At 57.1% G+C, this 19,572-nt stretch overlaps 1 protein-coding gene across 6 annotated transcripts in view, besides 6 other annotated features; it reads right to left on the bottom strand.

Annotated features, from left to right (window-relative positions):
* GSE1 (Gse1 coiled-coil protein) overlaps window positions 1-19,572 on the bottom strand; it is a 506,689-nt gene that overhangs the window by 303,714 nt on the left and 183,403 nt on the right. For 4 of the 6 annotated variants that reach the window (XM_047433837.1, XM_005255859.6, XM_005255860.4 and 1 more), the window contains exon 2: window positions 14,844-15,024. In XM_047433837.1, the coding sequence (XP_047289793.1) occupies window positions 14,844-15,024 (181 nt within the window). Of the gene's footprint in view, window positions 1-1,208; window positions 1,358-14,843; window positions 15,025-19,572 lie in introns of those variants that run through there. The other 2 variants (XM_011522965.4, XM_047433828.1) reach the window with 1 other exon arrangement.
* Window positions 1,535-1,760: a silencer, noted in NCBI's record as "fragment chr16:85404333-85404558 (GRCh37/hg19 assembly coordinates)". NCBI's record gives its function as "represses an EF-1alpha promoter that drives an FKBP-Casp9 reporter gene in an ReSE screen in HepG2 liver carcinoma cells {active_cell/tissue: HepG2}" and the evidence as "EXISTENCE:reporter gene assay evidence [ECO:0000049][PMID:32094911]".
* Window positions 6,912-7,538: an enhancer, noted in NCBI's record as "H3K4me1 hESC enhancer chr16:85398555-85399181 (GRCh37/hg19 assembly coordinates)". NCBI's record gives its function as "activates a minimal SCP1, AML or CMV promoter by ChIP-STARR-seq in naive H9 embryonic stem cells {active_cell/tissue: H9 hESC(naive)}" and the evidence as "EXISTENCE:reporter gene assay evidence [ECO:0000049][PMID:30033119]".
* Window positions 7,539-8,165: an enhancer, noted in NCBI's record as "H3K4me1 hESC enhancer chr16:85397928-85398554 (GRCh37/hg19 assembly coordinates)". NCBI's record gives its function as "activates a minimal SCP1, AML or CMV promoter by ChIP-STARR-seq in naive H9 embryonic stem cells {active_cell/tissue: H9 hESC(naive)}" and the evidence as "EXISTENCE:reporter gene assay evidence [ECO:0000049][PMID:30033119]".
* Window positions 16,139-16,639: an enhancer, noted in NCBI's record as "H3K4me1 hESC enhancer chr16:85389454-85389954 (GRCh37/hg19 assembly coordinates)". NCBI's record gives its function as "activates a minimal SCP1, AML or CMV promoter by ChIP-STARR-seq in naive H9 embryonic stem cells {active_cell/tissue: H9 hESC(naive)}" and the evidence as "EXISTENCE:reporter gene assay evidence [ECO:0000049][PMID:30033119]".
* Window positions 16,875-17,576: an enhancer, noted in NCBI's record as "H3K4me1 hESC enhancer chr16:85388517-85389218 (GRCh37/hg19 assembly coordinates)". NCBI's record gives its function as "activates a minimal SCP1, AML or CMV promoter by ChIP-STARR-seq in primed H9 embryonic stem cells {active_cell/tissue: H9 hESC(primed)}" and the evidence as "EXISTENCE:reporter gene assay evidence [ECO:0000049][PMID:30033119]".
* Window positions 17,577-18,280: an enhancer, noted in NCBI's record as "H3K4me1 hESC enhancer chr16:85387813-85388516 (GRCh37/hg19 assembly coordinates)". NCBI's record gives its function as "activates a minimal SCP1, AML or CMV promoter by ChIP-STARR-seq in primed H9 embryonic stem cells {active_cell/tissue: H9 hESC(primed)}" and the evidence as "EXISTENCE:reporter gene assay evidence [ECO:0000049][PMID:30033119]".

Below are 19,572 nucleotides of genomic sequence, written 5' to 3'. Positions count from 1 at the left end.
GTGAGACAGAGTCCAGAGTTTCACTGTCACCCAGGTTGGAGTGCAGTGTGCATGATCTCGGCTCACTGAAGCCTCAACCTCCCAGGCTAAGGTGAGCCTCCCACCTCAGCCTCCAGGGTAGCTGGGACCACAGGCATGAGCCACCATACTCTGCTTATTGTTTGTGTTGTTTTTTAGAGATGGGGTTTTGCCATGTTGCCCAGGCTGTTCTGAAACTCCTGGGCTCAAGTGATCTGCCCACCTTGATCTCACAAGCACAAGCCACCGCGCCCGCCAGGGGTTCCTTCTTAATGAAATCAAATCCATCTTCCACAGCCCAAGCCAGGGAGTGGAGGGTCCGGGCCACAGTCCCGCGCTAGCTGTGAAACCAGCCATGATGGAGGAAGGGGAGGGTGAGAAGCCGCTTACACCCCACCTGGTAAGGGAACTAGGAGCACCAGGGCTTTGGTGTCACCTGTGCCACACACACCTGTGCCCTCCTGGAAGCTCTGCAGAGGCGGAGCCCCTCTGCACGCTTCCTCTCCCTCTCTGCCCGTTCCTTCAGCCAGGGCTGCCTGGCTCCTCTCCCAGCCCCTCCTGCCCTTTTCCTCCCACTTCCAGAAGCAGTAGGAAGCTTGGGAGAGGGTCATTCAGGTTCTAGGCTTGGCACCATCCGGGACTACTGAGCAGCCTCAGTTTCCCCCTCCACGGGAAAGGAGGGTGGGATTCAGTGACCTCAGAGGGCCACCTAGTACCCAGGGGCCCAGTGAGCTGGGAGGATGGGAGGCACCCTGAGCTCACCCTCAGGTGTCTGGTGCCAGGCTCTGTGCCAGCCTGTGTCCCGTAAGGGTCCATGCACAGTACAATAGGGGTGCCAGCAGCAGAGGCAGCTGGGATGTGCCCAGGGAGTGCCCAGAAGGCTGTCAGCTGTGGCCCCAAGGCCCTGCCACGCCCCCTTAGAATCCTAACGCCTGCGCCTGGGCACTGGGGCTCAGACTAGGACCATTATGCCTGTCCCTGAGGTCACCGTCCCCTGGGCCAGCACTCATGCTCCACATCTGCACCCATACAGCCCCTGCAGCCAGGACGCACACCCTCACCGAGTCACAGCTCGGCCCTCTGTCCCTCCTTGCTATCTCCGTCTTCTGTCCTGGAAGTCTGGGCACTGTCCCAAGACCCACTCCCTGGCTCCTCCATGGCGCTGCGTGGGGCCATCCCCGGGGACTCACCCGGCAGGAGCACTTTCCACTTGGGGCTCTTCTGGTCCATGAGCACTGCCTGGCCCAGCCCCTGGCCCCCCTGCCCTGGCCTGGTAGCCCGAGGAGCAGCGGTGGCCTCGGTCATCAGTCAGCTCCCCTTGGCCTGGGGAAGGAACGAGGGGGGCGGAGCAGCGAGGGTGGGAGGAGAAGAGGACGCCTCCGGCTCCCTCCAGGCCCAGGCCCACAACTCAGTGTGGGGCGCAAACTCCCCAGAAGAGAGCGCGAGGGTGTGGAGCAGGCCACAGCCAGCCACCGCCGGGCGCAGGCCCTCCTCCTGCCCTCCCAGCCTCCGCCCCACCCTGGCACAGGCTGCTGCAAGCTGTACACAGGAGCCAGGCTGGCTCGGAGGGTAGTGGGAGCTGGGAGCTGCGGCAGCCACTTCCTGCCTTCCCTGTCAACTCCGTGGGCAGCAGAGAAAACCCAGTTCCCAAAGGTGGTCACACAGAGTGATATCCCGCCCAGGTCACACCCATGGGCTCGCAGAGTCATCCAGCAGCACACACTGGGTTCTCACTCCAGGCCTTCTGCAGTGTCCAGCCCTGGGTTGGGGCCTAGAACTCGCTCCAGGCAGAAGCAGCCGTCCCCATGGGAGGGAGGGAGAGAAGGAGGGAGGGAGAGAAGGAGGGAGGGAGAGAAGGAGGGAGGGAAGAGAAGAGGGAGGGGAAAGGAGGAAGCCCACCATCATTGCTGTATCCACTTTCAGGTTCTTTTCCCCTGAGGGGCCTCCTTTGCCCTCCTAGGGTCTGGGTGCCCAGTTCAAGTAGTGCGCCTCCTCCCTGGAGCCCTCCTGGGTTGCACCGTGCTGTGTTCTCTGCGTCTTGTGAGAGCCCATCTTAGTGTATTTGGGGATAGACGGGTTGAGCAGTGACCAGAGGTGAGGACCATGGCTTAGCTGCTTGAGGGGCAGGCAGAGGCAGAGGGACGCCCAGTGCACTGGAAGGTGGGGTCAGTTGGCCATCTCCTGGGGTGCGTTGCTCAGAGGCTAGGGGAGGGGCAGAGCCTGGCTGGGTCTCTAGGGTGAGTGCCATTCCCAGTGCCCAGGGACAGGGTGGGGGCAGCCCCAGGGCTTGGCTTTGGCTGTGCATCCAGGGCTTCACTGCGCCACCTCCTGGGAAAACGCTAAACTGCACCCAGAACCTCCTGGGTCCGGCCAGTATCCAGCCCCTGCCCCGCAAGGGTGGCGCAGGGACCACCTAGAGGGCTGCCCTCCCAGCTCTAAACTCGGGAGTTACTAACTGAGGCCACCCTCTCAAGGGGGCTCCGTCATCAGCCCCGTGTTCCCAAGGAGGGGACTGACCCGGGGTGACGCAGAATGCACCCTTGGGGTTGAGCCAGGCAGTGGGGCCCAGTTTGCCCCTGCAGAATGACCGTGAGGCTGAGGGACCAGTCCCAGCAAAGCACCTACAACAGTGCCTGGCACACAGTCGGCGCTCAATAAATGACTAATTGTGAGCATGGACACCACGCCCCTCAGGCTCAGCCAGCTCAGCCCAGCCAGGGAGAGTGTGTTAGGCTGCATAACAGCCCCAAAAGACGTCCACATCTAATCCCCGGAGTCTATGAAAATGTCACCTTCTATGGCAGAAGGGACTTTGCAGACATGAGTTGGAATCTTGAGATGGGGAGAGTATCCTGGACTGTCCAGGGTGGCGAGGGGCATCTAATGGGGTCACAGGGTCCTTGCAAGGGAGGCAGGAGTGGGTGGTGGGAGATGTGAGAACAGGAGCAAGTGGGGGCTCATGCCTGTAATCCCAGCACTTTGGGAAGCTTGAGGACTGCTTTGGGAGGGAGGACTGCTTGAAGCCTGGATTTTGAGACCAGCCTGCACAACAGAGTGAGACCCCATCTCTACAAAAATACAAACATTAAGCAGGAATGGTGTCGCATGTCTGTAATCCCAGCTACTTGGGAGGCTAAAGTGGGAGGATCCCTTGAGCCCAGGGAGGTCAAGGTTGCAGTGAGCCGTGATCACGCCACTGCACTCCAGCCTGGGCCACAGAGTGAGATCCTGTCTCAAAAAAAAGGCAGCAGCAAGAGGTCAGAATGATGTAGGAGATGAAACGGCCCCTAGAAGTGGGAAAAGATGAGGGAACAGTTTCTCCCCTAGGGCCTCCAGGAGGAGCCAGTCCTGCCCACACCTCGAATTTAGCCTCGTGAGATCCGAGTCAGGGCTCTGACCTCCAGAACTGTAAGGGAACAAGCTTTTGGTTTAAGCCACCAAGTCCACGGTGACTTCTTACAGCAACACAGAAATAATATGACTAGGAAGAGTGCTGTTTCCAGACACAGCACCCGACTCACAGCAGCTGCTTGGGCAGGACCCCCTCCATGTGCTCAACTCAGGGAGCCCGCAGCCCTCCCAGAGCCGTCCATGCCCTAGGGAGGGGGACCCATCACTCTCGGGTGACCTTGAAGTGCCCTTGACCCCAATCTAATCAGTCTGGGAAGCCCCCTAGAGAAAACAGGGTGGTCTACAGTTGCTGGAATTTTATTTTAAACTTCATCATCATTTCAAATGGAATTTTAGTTTAGTTTAGTTTTTTAGTGACAGGGTCTCACTCTGTCACTCAGGCTGGAGTACAGTGATGCAAGCATGGCTCACTGCAGCCTCGAACTCCTGGGCTCAAGCGATCCTCCAGCCTCAGCCTCCTGAGTAGCTGGGACTACAGGTGTGCACCACCACGCCCAGCTAATTTTAAAATTTTTTGTAGAGATGTGGTCTCATTATCTTGCCCAGGTTGATCTACAACTCCTGGGCTCAAGCGATCCTCCTGCCTCAGCCTCCCAAAGAGCTGGGATTACAGGCAGGAGCCACCGTGCCTGGTCAGAATTGTATCTTTTAGAGAAGGCATTTAGGGCTGATCTAATCAGTTGTGAAACAGGCGGCAGGAGAGCCAAGGCTCTCCTCCGATGCTCCAGTGACCTTCAGAACTCTCCCAGCACAAAGAGTTCTGCCCAGAGAGGCCAGATGGTTGACTCCACCCTGGGTCCTGGAGAGAGAATGAAGCTTCTGGAATGCAGTAAGAACCTGCTTGGAACATCAGCTCTTGACCCAGGAAACTCGGGAAGACGCGCACCCTCCGTGCTTGTAAGAATCTTATTTCCGGTGGCTCACGCCTGTAATCCCAGCACTTTGGGAGGCTGAGGCGGGTGGATCACCTGAGGTCGAGAGTTCGAGACCAGCCCGACCAACATGGAGTAACCCCGTCTCTACTAAAAATACAAAACACAATTAGCCGGGCTTGGTGGCACATGCCTGTAATCCCAGCTACTTGGGAGGCTGAGGCAGGAGAATCACTTGAACCCAGGAGGCAGAGGTTGCAGTGAGCCGAGATCATGCCATTGCACTCTAGCCTGGGCAACAAGAGTGAAACTCCATCTCGGAAAAAAAAAAAAAAAAAAAAGAATCTTATTTCCTCTTTACATTTGCCCTCCCCTGGTCATGTCTCCCAGCAACAGCTGACTAAAAAGCTCACATTCACTCAACAAAAGTTTACTGAGCACCTATTATGTGCACTGTGCCACGCACTGGAGAGATCACGAGGACAGGGAGCCACGGTCCCCGCCTTCATGGTGAGGGTAAGCATGCCAGGCACTGGCTGCCCCGGGGCCCTTGCATATGCTCTTCGCTTGGTCTGGAACTCTCTGCCAAATGCCACCTCCTTAGGCCTCTGCGACCACCCGTCTAAAGCCACGCCCTCAGGTCTCTCTGTCCCCTGCCTGTTTCTTCGTGGCCCTCTCACCACCCGGCATCACTCCTTTACCTGCTCATTCGGGAGTTATCTGCCTTCCTCTTGAATATCTGCTCTCGGGGCAGGGGTTGTGTCTGGTGTGTGCCCTGCTATGCCCCCCATGCCCAGCATGGTCTTTAGCACACAGGTGGTGTTCAATCAACACTTGTGAACAAAGGCACACATACGGCATTGTAGCGGCAGAGACAGACGTGCCGGCAGACAATCAGAGCTCGGTCAGATCGGAGCCGTGGTGAAGTTGCCAGCCAGGAGAGATCCCCAGCTCTCCCGTGGTGTCTGCTCCCACTTAGAAGGTCATGGGTGAGGGCAAGGGTGGCACTCTTCAAACCGCGTAAACCCACAGTGGTGCCAAACGGACCAGCCGAGGTCCCTGGTGACAGTTTATCAGCTTGGACCGGTCAGGGGAATGAAGAACAGTGGGTGAGCAGAGGCCACGGCAGGGTGGTGGCCAGGCGGGCCAAGGCACAGTGGCCCCTGCAGAGACGGTCTGTGCCTGGTGACACGGCTCTGTCCCTGGGGTCCCTGGCCCTGCCCCGGGGACACCCCACCCTAAGCTCCAGAACAGCCACTCCTGCTACTCAGCCAATCTCGTCTTTTCCATCTAAAATCTTTATCACCAACTTATTGGGAAAGAAATTCCAGTTTAGGGTAAACAGACCCTCTTAACAGCAATTTTGCCAGTTATAAAGATCTGCTTTTATTCAATGCTTGGTGTATTGTTTTTTCAATTGCCCAAGTTAAATTCTCTTTTCTTTTTTATTTCATACAAATCTAAACCAGTCACAGACAGACACACAGAGTCACACGCTAGCAAGGGAACCAGCTGAGGGAAACCAGATCCCAGTCTAAGTAGGAGGGCAGGAAACAGAGGGGCGGGAGGGTCTCTAGACCCAGCATGGGTAAAAGTCCCTGCTAAATATTCCAAGAGGCTCCTGGGGAGAGACCCACTTACAAGGAAAGAGCCTCTCAGGGCTGCCTGGGCTTCTAAAGCTTCCTGCCCCAACTTGTAAGCTCTGCACTCCCGGCATTACAAGAAGTTCCAGAGAAGATAAATAGATTGGTCGTGGAGAGGGAAACAGACTATGGATCCCAGCTCAGCTGGAAACGTATGAAGAGAGACAGAGACAGAGTGGGTGACACGAGCCAGGAGGCAGTCATGCTGCAGCAGGGCCAGGGAAGGGGGGCTCTTGTGCAGAGCTGGAGAAGCCACAGCCAAATCCAGCCCCCCGTGCCCTCCGGAGCAGCTGCCGCTTGGCAGTGGGGGCAGAGCTCTGGGAGCGCCTGGTGTCAAAGCACTCGGCAGCGGAGCCGCTACAGGCAAGGCTTACCAAGGACTTCGGGAGGCCGGAGCCCAGTACCCGAGCGCAGTCCCGCCTTCCCGGCGGTGGAGGCCCAAGCCCGGCTGGGAGCCCATTTGCCCAACAAAAAAGAGACAAAAGCCGTCCCAGGGCCAGGGTTTCTGGTGGTCACCAGCTCTCTGTCGCTGCCAGGGCAGGCCCAGCTCACACATTCCCGTGTGCCAGGCAAGCATCTGATGTGGACTCTGATTCTTGAAACCCCGTCATCCCCGTTTGACACATGGGGAAACTGAGGCACAGGGAGGCGATCTGCCACATAGCAGAAGCTCCAAAGGAGCAGAGCCAGGTTTGGAACTCAGGGAGAGGGAGTCCAGGTATGCACACTGAAAGCCATCCACAGCCTAGTCATTCCCAACGAATAACTGATTTCAACACATGGCTAGAAGAGAGAGAGTGGAAATGAAGTCGCTGTAGGCTACTATAAACCTTCACCTTCTATAAACCTTCGCCTTCTACAAACCTTCGCCTTCTACAAACCTTTGCTTTCTACAAGCTTCACCTTCCAGGCAATGCACATGGACGCACCCTTACGGCCCTGTGGTTCCATCTACTGAATGTGGTCCCCAAGGACGCTCCCCAAGCTCCAAGAGATCCTCAGCCTCAGGTTGAGGGGCTGAACCCCAAGGCTACGCTCTGCAATGAACCTGTCTGTACTTGCCCTCTGCTGGCTTCCTTCTTTCGTGTTCCCAGCTTGACCTGGGAGGAGCCAGGTGAACCAGCTGCCCCTTTGTCCACAGGGAAAAGAGAAGAGTGAAGGTGGAGGCGGAGTGCAGGAGTGAAGGAGTGGTGCGTCTGAAGTGCTGTCTGCATAGACCAGACTGAGGCCATGGCCCTGGGCGTGTGCTGTCTCAGGCAGGTTTCTCAGAAGCAGACAGGGAGACCAGGACGCCGTGATCTCTAAGGCTGGTCTCCCGGGGATACTGGGGGCGGGTGTGAGGATGCAAGCGTGACTTCAGACACAGCCCCGACCCCAGCCCTGTCCCAGAGGAGCTCTGGAGGGTGGGTGGCTCCTCTCTCCAGAAGTAAGGGGCTTCCCACCCCACAGCTGCCAGTCACTGGCTGCAAAGGGCTGCCCCAAAGATGAGAGCTCCCAGCCCTTCCTACAGAGCAGCTGCAGGGGCCTGAGGACAGGCCTCCAAAGACAGCCTCGAAGACAGCCAGGGGCTGCCTCAGAACCACAGTACACAGGACCCAGGGAGAGCATGTAGAAGTGGGAAGTGCCTGGGCAGCGCACAGACAGCCTCTGACCCGTGCCGTCTCAGGGACTGTGGGACCATGGACGAACCGCCCAGCAGAATGGCAGGGCTCGGCCCCTTCTGCCGGGGACAGAGTTGCTGGGGAGTGGCTGCTGTCCTGCTCCCCGTGCGTCTGGGTGGGGTGTGAGCTGGTCCAGGCCAACGGGAAGTGGGCAGGAACGGCATGGGTCACTGGAAGGCCACAGCGGGAGAGTATCCAGGGGTGTTCCTGTGTCTGTTGCCCGTGCCCGCTGGTGATGGGACATCAGGGCACTCTGGAAGTCCCAAGGAAGCAGAGACCACAGCTTGAAGAGAATCCGGGATCCTGAGTCACTCAATCAGGAAGACCCACCATGAACCCTGGGACTGTCTGTTACGGCACCGGGGGTGCCTGCCCTGACTAATGCAGCTGACTTTATAAATACTGTGGCTGCAGGCTAAGCACGGACTCAAAAGATGTCTACATCCCAATCCCTGCAGCCTGTGCACGTGCCACCTTACCTGGGAAAAGGGGATTAAGGTTGCTAACCAGCTGACCTTGAGATGGGAGATGGGCCTGGATTAGCCACGTGGGCCTGGTGCAGTCACAGGGGCCTTCTAAGTAGGAGAGGGGGGCAGGAGAAGAGGAGAGAGAAGGAGGTGCCACCCGGAAGCAGGGTCTGAGAGACGCTGAGTTGCTGGATTTAAGGTGGAGGGAGGGGCCGCAAGTCAAGGAATGCGGGCGGCCTCCAGCCAAGGAAGCTGCAGAAGGCACAGAAACAGATTCTCCCCTGGAGCCCCCAGAAGGAACAGGCCCTGCCCACATCGGGATTTTTGCACAGTGAGACTAACGTCAGACTTCTGACCTCCAGCACTGTAAGAACTATGTGTGCGTGTGAGAGTAATGAGTGTTGTTTTAAGCCACGAAGTTTGTGGTATTGTCACAGCAGCCATGGGAAACAAACACAGACCTCTTCTTAAGTAAGCCCCTGCCATGGTGATCGGCAAGGCAGAAGTCACAAGAGCAGGCAGAGGGAAGGGACCTTCTGGATCAGCCCAGAGTAGAGACGGAGGGCATGCTGTGTCTTCTGCAGCAGCTCCCACCCACCCTGCCAGCCCCCTCCTCTTCTCCCCCGCCCCACCCACTGTCCCAGACCACAGGGAGAGGCTGGCTTTCCTTTCCTCAGGTGGCCAACAGAGGGCAACTGGTGGTGACAGTACCCACGGGTAAACTGAGGCACAGCATGGGAAAATCAGGCTTTTGCAACTGCACCCTCTGGTGGGAAAACAGCTCAGTGCTTTCATTCTCTTGATTACCCTCGCTCCCTCCTTCCTCTGCTGTGTGTGGATGCTGGGATCAGCCCTGCCCTGGGAACAGAGAGAGAAACCCCATGGGAAGAGCCAGGAGGAGGTGGAGACACCACAGGCTCTGACACCCATGTATAGGGAACGCAAGTCCAGTCCTGGTCGGCCAGGGTTGGAGGTAAGGCCTGGCCCAGTGGTTCCCCAAAGCCTGGAGCAAGCACTGCTGAGAACAAGGGATCTCTGGGTGGAGGCAAAGCAGACAGCTACTGGGGCAGAAGGAACCCATAGACTGCCCCAAAGGGGCAATCAGCCCCAGCACCCCTGTCAAGCAAGGCAACACCCCAGTATGGCAGGTGAGAAAGGGAGGAGCCCCTGGAACATGGCCATAAGCAGAGAGTCAATCTTGGCCTGGTTTTCTGCAACCCCACCCCAAACTCAGCGGTAGGGTCTGTGGCATCTGCTATCTGTATTAATAATGATATCCAGCGGGTGCGGTGGCTCACGCCTCTAATCCCAACACTTTGGGAGGCCAAGGCAGGTGGATTTCCTGAGTTCAGGAGTTTGAAACCACCCTGGGCAACATGGTGAAACCCCATGTCTATTAAAATACAAAAAAATTAGCTGGGCATGGTGGAGTACGCCTGTAATCCCAGCTACTCGGGAGGCTGAGGTGGGAGAATTGCTTGAGCCTGGGAGGCAGAGTTTGCAGTGAGCCAAGATCATGTCACTGCACTCCAGCTTGGGCGACAGAGTGAGACCTCATCTCAAAAAAAAAAAAAAAAAAAAAAGATATCAATAACCACTTCAGAAACGGTTTCACAGCTCAGGAAGGATACCCAGGGCCCACGTGGCACTACTCCAGGGCCACCACTGATGTGCCACACGGCAGCCCCAATGGCCATGCAGAAAGCACATTCACAGAGACCACAATAAGAATGGTGCCTCCGGGAGTTGTGCAGTGTGCAACCTGCACAGCCTTGCATGGCAGCCCTCAGTGCCTTCTCAATGTTCATCCAATGTCACTGACACCACGCTACCAGAAGGATTTTATTTTTACCATGCCTATTCAGTAGTCAGAGCAGCTGAGCCCAGGGAAGGTCCTGAACCTTGAGAAGGCTCCATGGCCGGGAAGTAGTAATGCTAGGACTTGGAAACTTGGACCTGAGTCCAAGCCCCTCCCTCCTATCACCAACCAGTGCTGCTTCTCTCCCAAGGTGGCTGCAGACAACACAAAGATAATTGTTCTAGGGAAGCCTGTTCCCATCCACTGGTGATAAATTAGGAGTGTCCTCTCAATAGATTTTATACTGCATGCGATGGCACATGAGAAATGGGTCTTCATTTGACTAAAGGCCGAAGAGTATTGGAAAGAGATGAGCTCAACTGCTCACCCGCCCCACGAGGGAAGGACATCCATCACAAGGTTTCGGTTGCACCCTTCTCCCGGCAGCTGAAGATGCCTGGTCAGTCCGTTTGGGCCTTGCCTGCCAGAGGAATCCCAGCCCCAGGGTTCCTCATGGCCTTCACAGGAGGGCAGAGTCCCCAGCCCTGGAGCTGTACTCCCGGCAGCCAGCAAGTGGCCACCTCCCAGACGGCCACTTCAAATGCAACACCTGGGAACCAAAGCTGCCCACATGGTGAGAGCCTGGCCAGCCACCAGGAGCCTTTGCCCGGGAGTGGCCCCACTCTGGACACGGCAGTGGCCCTATCCGACCGTAGTGACGCAAGTCTGATAAGCTCTGTGGGCTGCCCCGGGAGTCTGGGACGGCAGGGAACCCAGTGTTACCAAACTCATCACCGCCTTCCACAACACACACAACCCCCGCCTCTGGGGGAGACCAAGGCAGCTGACGGCCACGTGTTTCCCTGGGGGACTCTGCCCAGGGCCCAGGTCGGCACAGGCTCCTCCTGTACCTGCTTCCTTTCCCTGGCAAAAGCTGCTGTCCCCACGTACGAGGCATTTCCAGGGAAGTGGGGGTCAGAAACGGACGGCCCTGGGCGGTTACAGTCGCGCCACCTGCCCTGGCCACCCCCACTGCTGGTAAAGGCTCCTGCCCCAGCCAGTGCCAGGGTGGGGCCACCATGGCAGGGGGCCAGAGAGACAGAGAGGGCAGAGAGGGCTGAGAGGGCTCAGTGCCCCTGAGGCCGTGGCCTGGAAAGAGGGAGACGGGGCTGTGGTGGGGATGGGCATTTGGAATGTGTGTCCTGTGTGTGTGTGTCTGTGTGTTTGTGTGTGGGGGGGTCTGTGCCTGTCTCTGTGTGTCTCTGCCCCTGTGTGTGTGTGTGTGTGTTTGTGTGTGGGGGGGTCTGTGCCTGTCTCTGTGTGTCTCTGCCCTTGTGTGCGTCTGTATGTTTGTGTGTGGGGGGTCTGTGCCTGTCTATGTGTGTCTCTGCCCCGTGTGCGTCTGTGTGTTTGTGTGTGGGGGGTCTGTGCCTGTCTATGTGTGTCTCTGCCCCTGTGTGTGTCTGTGTGTTTGTGTGGGGGGGGTCTGTGCCTGTCTCTGTCTGTCTCTGCCCGTGTGTGTCTGTGTGTTTGTGGGGGTACTCTGTGTATGTATCCATATGTGTATCGCATATGTGTATGTGAGTCTGTGCTTGTATCCACCTATGCGAGGATGTTTGGCTTCTGTGTGTGTGGCTGTGTGTGGTATGTTTGTGGTGCAGACAGGGTCTGTGTCTGTCTGCACGTGGCCCTGTGCTTGTAAGTCTGTGTATCCACGTGCATATCGTGTGCTTGGGAAAAATCTATGCAGGTGTGTGTGTGTGTGTCACGGGTTTCTGTGTGTGTATCTGTGTGTGTGCTGGGTCTGCCCATGTGTCTGCGTATGTGTGTGTGTGTCTGACTTACGCGTGCACCCGTGCCTATGCCATGTCTGTGAGCTGTGTCTCCGAGTGCCTGCTTTCGTCTGTGTGTTTGCGTGTATGTACTGTGTCTGTGTCTGTCTCGTGCGTCTGCATGTCTGGACGTGCCCCCTCCCCCTGCACCCGCCCCGCCGCCCAGCTGGCAGTGCACAGCTGGGCCCGGGAGACAGCGCCCGCCCGCCTGCCGGATGAGAGGTGGCAGGTGTGTAATAAACCATTAGTCACTGTCACGTTTCTGAGCAGCAGTGGCTGCCCAGGCGGGGCCTGACTGCGGGACATGCTCCTGGTGGGTCTCTGGCTGAGGAGCTGCCCGGACTTGGCTGCAGCCTGACAGGGAGCAGCTGGCAGACGCAGGTTCGTGCCCCGGCCCTGCCCCACCTGCCCCCACCCGGCCGCAGGGCAGGGGCTCCTGGCTTGCCAGGTCAGCCGTTGTTGCAGGGACACTCACGGGGGTCCCCCACAACCTCTGCACCCTTCTTGGCACCCCCAGACTCTCAGGCCCCCGCCCCCAACGTACCCCGCTAGTACGCAGTGAGTTGCAGCAAGGACCTGCTGATGAGACAAGGTTCTTTCCAGGGACCTGGTGGCCACCGGGACCAGGGACTCAGGAGTGACCAGCCCCATCCCCAAAGGTCTCCAAAAAGGGCTCCTTTTGGAAATGTCACTCTGAAAACCCCTGAATTGATTGTTTTAAAACATTTTTTTAATTAAAAAAAATTTTTTTGAGACAGAGTCTTGCTCAGTCGCCTAGGCTGGGCTGTGGTGGTACAATCACGGCTCACTGCAGCCTCAACCTCCTGGAATCAAGTGATCCTCCCACCTCAGCCACCTGAGTAGCTGGGACCACAGGTGCGTGCCACCATGCCCGGCTAATTTTTGTATTTTTTTGTAGAGACAGAGTTTCGCCTGGGGGTTGCCCAGGCTGGTCTCAAACTCCTCGGCCTCCCAGCACTCAGGGAAGCAGCCTGGTGTGCCGAGGGTGAGTTCGGCGCGGGAGCCAGACGTCGGGGTTCGTGCCCCATCCCCCTCGCTCACTACTGTGTGAGTGGAGGCAGATTGCTCAGCCTCTCTGGCCTGCAGGACACTGTTTCACTGATGGAGGAGGACATGTGTCCCAACATGAGTGGGAAAAAGGCAGACTTGGTTCTTCCTCGGTGCCCAGCCCTCTTCAAGCAGCTTACAAGCATCAGCTCACGAGGTTGCCACGAAACCTCTACCAACACCTACTATTAGGGCTCCCTCTTACAGATGTGAGGACAGAGGCTCAGGATGACTCATTCATTTGCCAAAGGTCCCTCAGATAAGAAGTGGGTGGGCCTGCTCCCCAAACCACAGCCAAACTCCGCCTAGGGGTCCATCTGGGCCTTGTTCTGCTCCGGAGGACTCTGGTTTCCTGGGGCAGGGCTCTGCCCAAAGCTGTGGGAGAGAAACGGTGAGAACCAGGCAAGCTGCCTCCTCCTCGGAGCCCTCCACTGACCCGTGAGCCGCCAGGCCCAGGAGGACGCATCGCCAAACAGGGGCACCCGGCCTGCCCTAGGCACAGGGGAACACTGGTGTCCTCCTCTGCCTGAGCCTCCCCTGGGGATGTCCTGAGTGACAGGTGGGTGTGGACCCAGCCTGAGCTGCCACCCAGAGCTGAGCGTGAGAAATCGCAAACAAATCATAACTCCCTGGCCCCAGCCTGCACCCTGAACACTGAGGGTGCCAAGGCCTGTCACAAACACGCTCGGGTCCTGGCTGAGTTAATCCCCACATCTGCCCCGTGAGCCAGGCACTCCCATTAGCTTTCTTCCCATTTCCCAAATGAGGAAACTGAGGCACGGAGCAGGGAAACTCACTTGTCCAAGGCTCTTAGCCATTCCTCCCCGACAATGGCCTGGCTTTTGTGATCAGGAGCTCTGATTAGCTGGCTCAAGGCAACGGCAGAGCAGGTCCTCAGACAAGGTGGGGACAGTAGTCCCTGCCTGGCCTGTTTTGTGGCCTGACCACCCTGACCTCAACCGCCAGTGTCTGGAAGCCCTTCAGAGGGGTCAGCGTCCCTAAAGCCCCTGGCCAGCCCCTTCCCTTCCCCGGAGCCTACCACACAAAGAGAAAGAGGTCGGTATTGGGGTTGCCCTGCAGATGGAGGTCCCAGATCAAAGTCCAGGGCTTGGGGGATGGGCCAGCTGTCCCCAGGCCCCCAGCAGTCCCCTGTCTGTCCATCTCCTCCCCGGCTCAGCCCAATAACATGGGGTGCTTTGGACCCACTGCCCTCACTGTGGTTGGCACCAGGGGCGGGCTGGGCTGGGGGTCTCAAGTCTCCCGTGCTGTGGGGGCAGCGATGGGGGCAGGACAGAGCCTTGACCACAGCCCTCTGGAGGGTCTTGCTGACGAACCTATGGCCTAAGGGGTGGCTTCAGGATGAGGCCATAAAAACGCATCATGGGGGTCACCACATGTCCAAGCCCAGCCAAAGCATCTGACCTGGCCCAGGCCCCAAGGCCCAGCAGCCAAAGCCTCAAGGGTCCACACACGGCGATTAACCAAGGAGGGCACAGCCTCGCCTGGCCTCAGGGAAGCACCATGCAGAAGCCCTTAGGATGTGTCTGAGGATGCCTTGGAGTGGGGGTGTGGTCCACAGCACGCCTGTGGCTGGCGGGAGTGGGAGGGGGAGGACGGCAGCGCCATCTCCCCGCACAGAGCAGCCTGGTTCCCCGTGGCCCAGCCCAAGAGAAGCGCACACGTGCACCTGGGACACAGTGTGTTGACATCTGAGAAAACCAAGAAACGACCCCCTCTGGGCTCAAGACTATCCATAACATCATTTTTTTTAATGAATGAATGAAGACAAGAGAGTGTATAGGTAAATAAACAAACAAAGGCAGCCCAGGAGCCCAGCAGGCGAGAGTATCGAGAACCAGGGATGTTGATGAAACTACGGTTTTGGAACCCTAAGGAGTATGGAAGAGAAAATCCAAACTCCAGTAAGGGAGACCCAGCACCCGGTCTCTCCCCTAGGATGCCGAGGACACAAGGCGGAACTGTATCTGAACTCGGCTCTGGGAGCCCCCATCCCTGCTGGGACAACCGCATCCCAGCCCAGTACCCAGAGATACAAAAAGAGCTGGCGTCTACCTGCACCAGTAAGGTCTGGTCCGTCCTCCTCCCGGCTGCTCTGCAGACACTGTGCTGGCCTCAGCTCCTGGGCCATCCTGGGGCCTCTGGGCAGGGTCTCCGTGGGGGCGCGTGGCCGGGTCTCGGACTCCCGGGTGGGAGGGTGGCTGGCTGCAGATGCTTCCAGAGATCCACAAACAGGCTGAAAGGAAAAGAGGTGGACACAGTGAGCCTGGGCCATGCCTGCAGGGGATGATGCATGAATGGACTCTCTGGCCATAGGTGCCATTCCTCCCCGACGATGGCCTGGCCTTGGTGATCAGGAACTCAGACTGGCTGGCTCAGGGCAACAGCAGAGCAGGTCCTCAGTAAGGCCAGTGCCAGTGTCTTCCTTGCCCAGCAAGCCCAGCCTAGGGAACACCAGGCTGGACCCCTGCTGCTGGGGTCCCACCCACACAGCCCCATCTTCTTGGCCATCCAAAACTGGAGCTTCTGGAGCCCTCGCGGCAGCTGGCCAGCACTGCACGGAGCCCAGAAGCATCTAAGAGGGAGCCTGAGGCTAAGCCCAAAGGTCCAGCCTTGTCCTGTCCCCTGGCGGTGGTGGGGACAAGGTTTATTCTGTGGTGCTTGCCCAGAGATCCCCTGGGGCCTGGCACTTGGCTCAGAGAGCTGGGCAAACCATCTCAGCCGCACCCTGCAAATCAGGGAAAGGCCCTCATCTGAGTACCCCCGGGGGATGCTCTCTTCCAGACTGGGCCGCCGGGCACCTGGTGCGATCCTGAGCTGTTATTACCAGCCGGGGAGCAGCAGGCAGGCCCCTCACCTCTCTGAGCAACTGGAGTGCCTTGATTACAACATGACAAAATGGATACAGGCCAGGCGCGGTGGCTCCCGCCTGTAATCCCAGCACTTTGGGAGGCTGAGGCAGGAGGATGGCTTGAGCCTAAGAGTTCCAGACCAGCCTGGGCAACATAGGGAGACCCCATCTTTACAAAAATAAATAAACAAATTTAAAAAATGGACACAGGAAGGCTGTGATTGTGATGTCTTCATTTATTGCAGGAGAACAGGTGGGGCGGCACCTGGTTTGGTGCACGTCCTGGTGGTGACCAGCTCTACGCCACAAGCTGGCCAGAGTCTCACCTGTGGCTTACTAACACAGATATTTCTTCTAGGTCCCTGCACCAAGGGGAGTCAAAGGGAGCACAGAACTGGTGGGACCCTCCTGGGACCTGGCAACACTGGCCACTGACCACTGACAGCCGTGTCCCTCCCCGGGTGCTGCCCCCTGCCAAGGGAACGGACCCGTGCGAGGGCCAGGACTGCAAGGGTGCAGCCCCGGGCCTCAGGGCACTTTTGCAGGAACTGCAAAACGTGCCTCTCCATCCTGCGTGCACCTGGGCTCACTGGTCCCGAGGCGAGCAAGAACTACCATGACGACGACGATGATGGGGATGCTGATGGTGACGACGCCAACTGCCCGTTACTAAGGGCCTACCTGTCCCTAGCTCTACATGGAACTTGGAATGACCAACTACCAGTTATAACTATACGGATGAACTCAGTCCACACTGCAGGGGGGTCATCCCATGCCCACAGCCCTCACTTTTTTGTAATCTTTATTTTTTATTTTATTTTGAGATGGAGTCTCACTCTGTCACCCAGGCTGGAGTGCAGTGTTGTGATCTCAGCTCACTGTAACCTCCACCTCCTGTGTTCAAGTGATTCCCCTGCCTCAGCCTCCCGAGTAGCTGGGATTACAGGTGCCCGCCCCCATGCCCGGCTCATTTTGTTTTTTGTTTCTTTAGTAGAGATGGGGTTTCACTATGTTGGCCAGACTGGTTTCGAACTCCTGACCTCAAGTGATCCGCCTGCTTCTGCCTCCCAAAGCGCTGGGATTATAGGTGTGAGCCCCTGCACCTGGCCACTTTTCTGTAATCTTTAAAATTGTCATAAAATATACCGAACACAAAATTTACCATTCTGACCATTTCCAAGTGTGCACTGAGTACATTCCCAGTGTTGTGCTACCATTACCACCATCCATTTCTAGAACTTTCTCATCATCCCACACAGCAACTCTGTCCCCATTAAAAGGCTCCCTGCTCCCCGCCCTCAGCCCTGGCTGTCGGCGTCTGCTCTCTGTCTTGGTGACGGGCTGCTGTTGTTGGCCCATCCCCTTTCCAGGAAGAGTTGGTAGGAGCCCAGGGTCACAGGCAAGGTCAGCCCAGGCCAGAGGCTTCAGAGCCCTGGGTGTGGGAGGCTAAGGGCCTGCCGTCTGGTGAGGTTGTGAGCTAAGCCCCAGCTTGAACAACGAACTGTGCTACCAGGTCCCTGTCGTGGGGGTTGGTGACCCTCCACTTCCCAATGATGAGCTCCAGGGACAGCAGGGTTGTGGAAAAGCAACTTTCTGTTGATCCGGTTTTTTGTTTTTTTTTTCTTTTAGGGATTAGTGCTATAAAACCCAAGTGCCTAAGTGAGATGGATGGTTCAGAATTCCTCGGGCAAGCGCAGGCCCCACCAGCTCTGCATGCAAGGGACGTATAAATTTACCGTTTGTTTCCGGGAATGCTTTAATTTATGGGATCCATATGGTGACACTGGCCAGACCACAGCCCCCACAAATCCCACAGGCATGCCGGCGGCTTAGGCTGGAGCCAGGAGGCGGCGGCACCTCAGGCCAGCACACTTGATTCATTCATCCACTCACTCAGGGCCCAGGGTAAGCCCATCAGGACGGCAGGTACCCTGGGGCCTGTACCAAGGTGGTTCCCACCCTGGGGACTGAGCTACTCCTGCAGCCTTGCCCTGAGTCATCTCAGGAAATGCTGCAGGGTGATGCTAGAGAGAGGAAGGCTTGGGGCTACTGTGTCCATGATGCAGCACAGACGGCAGCTCCAGCCAGCCCCAGAGGCTCCTGCTGCGAGGGACGGCTTATGGGGCAGCACCCGGTCATGCTGGGCCGCATCTGCATTCAAGCCCCCAGGGGATGGGCTGGAGGGGTGCAGGGGAGGGCTGTGCCATGCCCCAGTCTCGACCCCTGTCCACCTCCTGGTCCCTCCTGGAGCTGGGGGGCCAGGGTTCTGCTGGAGAGAGAAGCTGAGAGGCCCCTCCTGGGGTGGAGATGGCTCCCGGAAGCGGGACTGTGAGTATAAGGAAAGAAGGCAGCAAACACGGCTGTGGTGAGGCTCACCCTCCACTCAACTCAGCACTGGAACAAAAGAGAAAACAACCCTTTTTACTGAGCACCTACTATGTGCCAGGCACTGATCTAGGGCTTTGTACTGATTAGCATAGTTAATCCTTCCAACAAGGCATGGAGGCAGGAAGAGATGAACTGAGTGATCTGAGCTCACACAATAACTGGAGGGATACGGGTTTGACCTGAAGCAGTTGTCTGTAACTTCAGACAGCTTACAAAGCAACTGGGGGACACAGCTTTTCAGTAGAGAACAGAAGATGGCAAGAGGGAATACCACCGGGGGAGATGGGAGCACAGATGACAAGTACTATAGGAGTTTGAGAAGGGGAGGGGTCCCCAAGGTCTGAGGAAATCCGCACGGGCTTCCTGGAGCAGCTGGAATGTGAAGTGGGCCTTCAAGAGGAGTAGGATTTGAAAGGGAGTGGGAACAGGAGGGACAGCATTCCAGGTGTGGGAGGCACCTGCACAAGGCGCCAGAGGCAGGAACGCACACAAGATTGTTCAACAGACACGGAGCCGACCAGGCAGCAGGCTTCCTGCAAAGGCAGCTTGGACGGGCTCCTGCTCTTCCTCAAGGGGCTCGTGGTCTAGGACAGGAGGTTGGAACACACATCCCCGCAGGGGCCAGGAGGGGAAACTCTGCAAGGGCATTGAGTGGAGGAGACTGCAAGGAGACAGCCACAGCCCTTCCCAGGGTCAGCAGGTATCACCTTGATGGAATTGAGCCCCACCTTGACAGATCTTCTGATTTTCCAAGAAGAATCTGGGAACCTCTTTTTAAACATGTTTTTATTAAGAGACAGGGTCTTGCTTGTTGCCGAGGCTGGCCTTGAATTCCTGGGCTCAAGTGATCCTCCTGCCTCAGCTTCCCAGGTAGTTGGGACTACAGGTGGATGCAATCGCTTCTGGCTTTGGGAATCCATTTTTTAAAGTTGAACTCTCCTGATGATGAAGTGTCAGCAACTAATCCCCGAAATGTGAAAACCCTGTGCTTTTGATGGGAACGTAAAATGATGCAGTTGCTTCGCAAAACAGCTGGCAGTCCATCAAACGGTCTAACATAGGGTTACCCTGCAACCCAGCAACTCCACTCCTAGACATATAGCCAACAGAACTGAAAACATCCAGCCATCCGCACACGAACTTGTATAGGAAGGTGCGTAGCAGCCCTCAGTCCTACAGACAAATGAATACTGACTGGCAACAACCCAAGTGAGTGTGGAGGTGGGTTCTTCCCCGGTCGAGTCCCCAGGTGAGACTGCGTCCTGGCCAACAAACCAAGTGAGTGTGGAGGCGGGTTCCTCCACGGTTGAGCCTCCATCTGAGACTGCGTCCTAGCCAACACCTTGATCTGCAGCCTAGTGAGGCCCAGAGCAGAGGGCCCAGTTGAACTGTGTGATAATAAACATGTGTGGCTGTAAGCTGCTAAACATGTCATACTTTGTTACACAGCAACAGAGAGCTGATACAGTCCTTAAAGTTCTAGAACAGTGCCTGGCCTAGGTATCAGTGTTCCCTGGCACCACTGTCTGCTGAGCTGTGTGTGTC

This window comes from Homo sapiens, chromosome 16 (genome assembly GCF_000001405.40).
Source record: "Homo sapiens chromosome 16, GRCh38.p14 Primary Assembly".
Lineage (NCBI taxonomy): Eukaryota > Metazoa > Chordata > Mammalia > Primates > Hominidae > Homo > Homo sapiens.
Note: the sequence above shows the minus strand (reverse complement) of the source record. Positions and strands in the feature narration are given on the sequence as shown.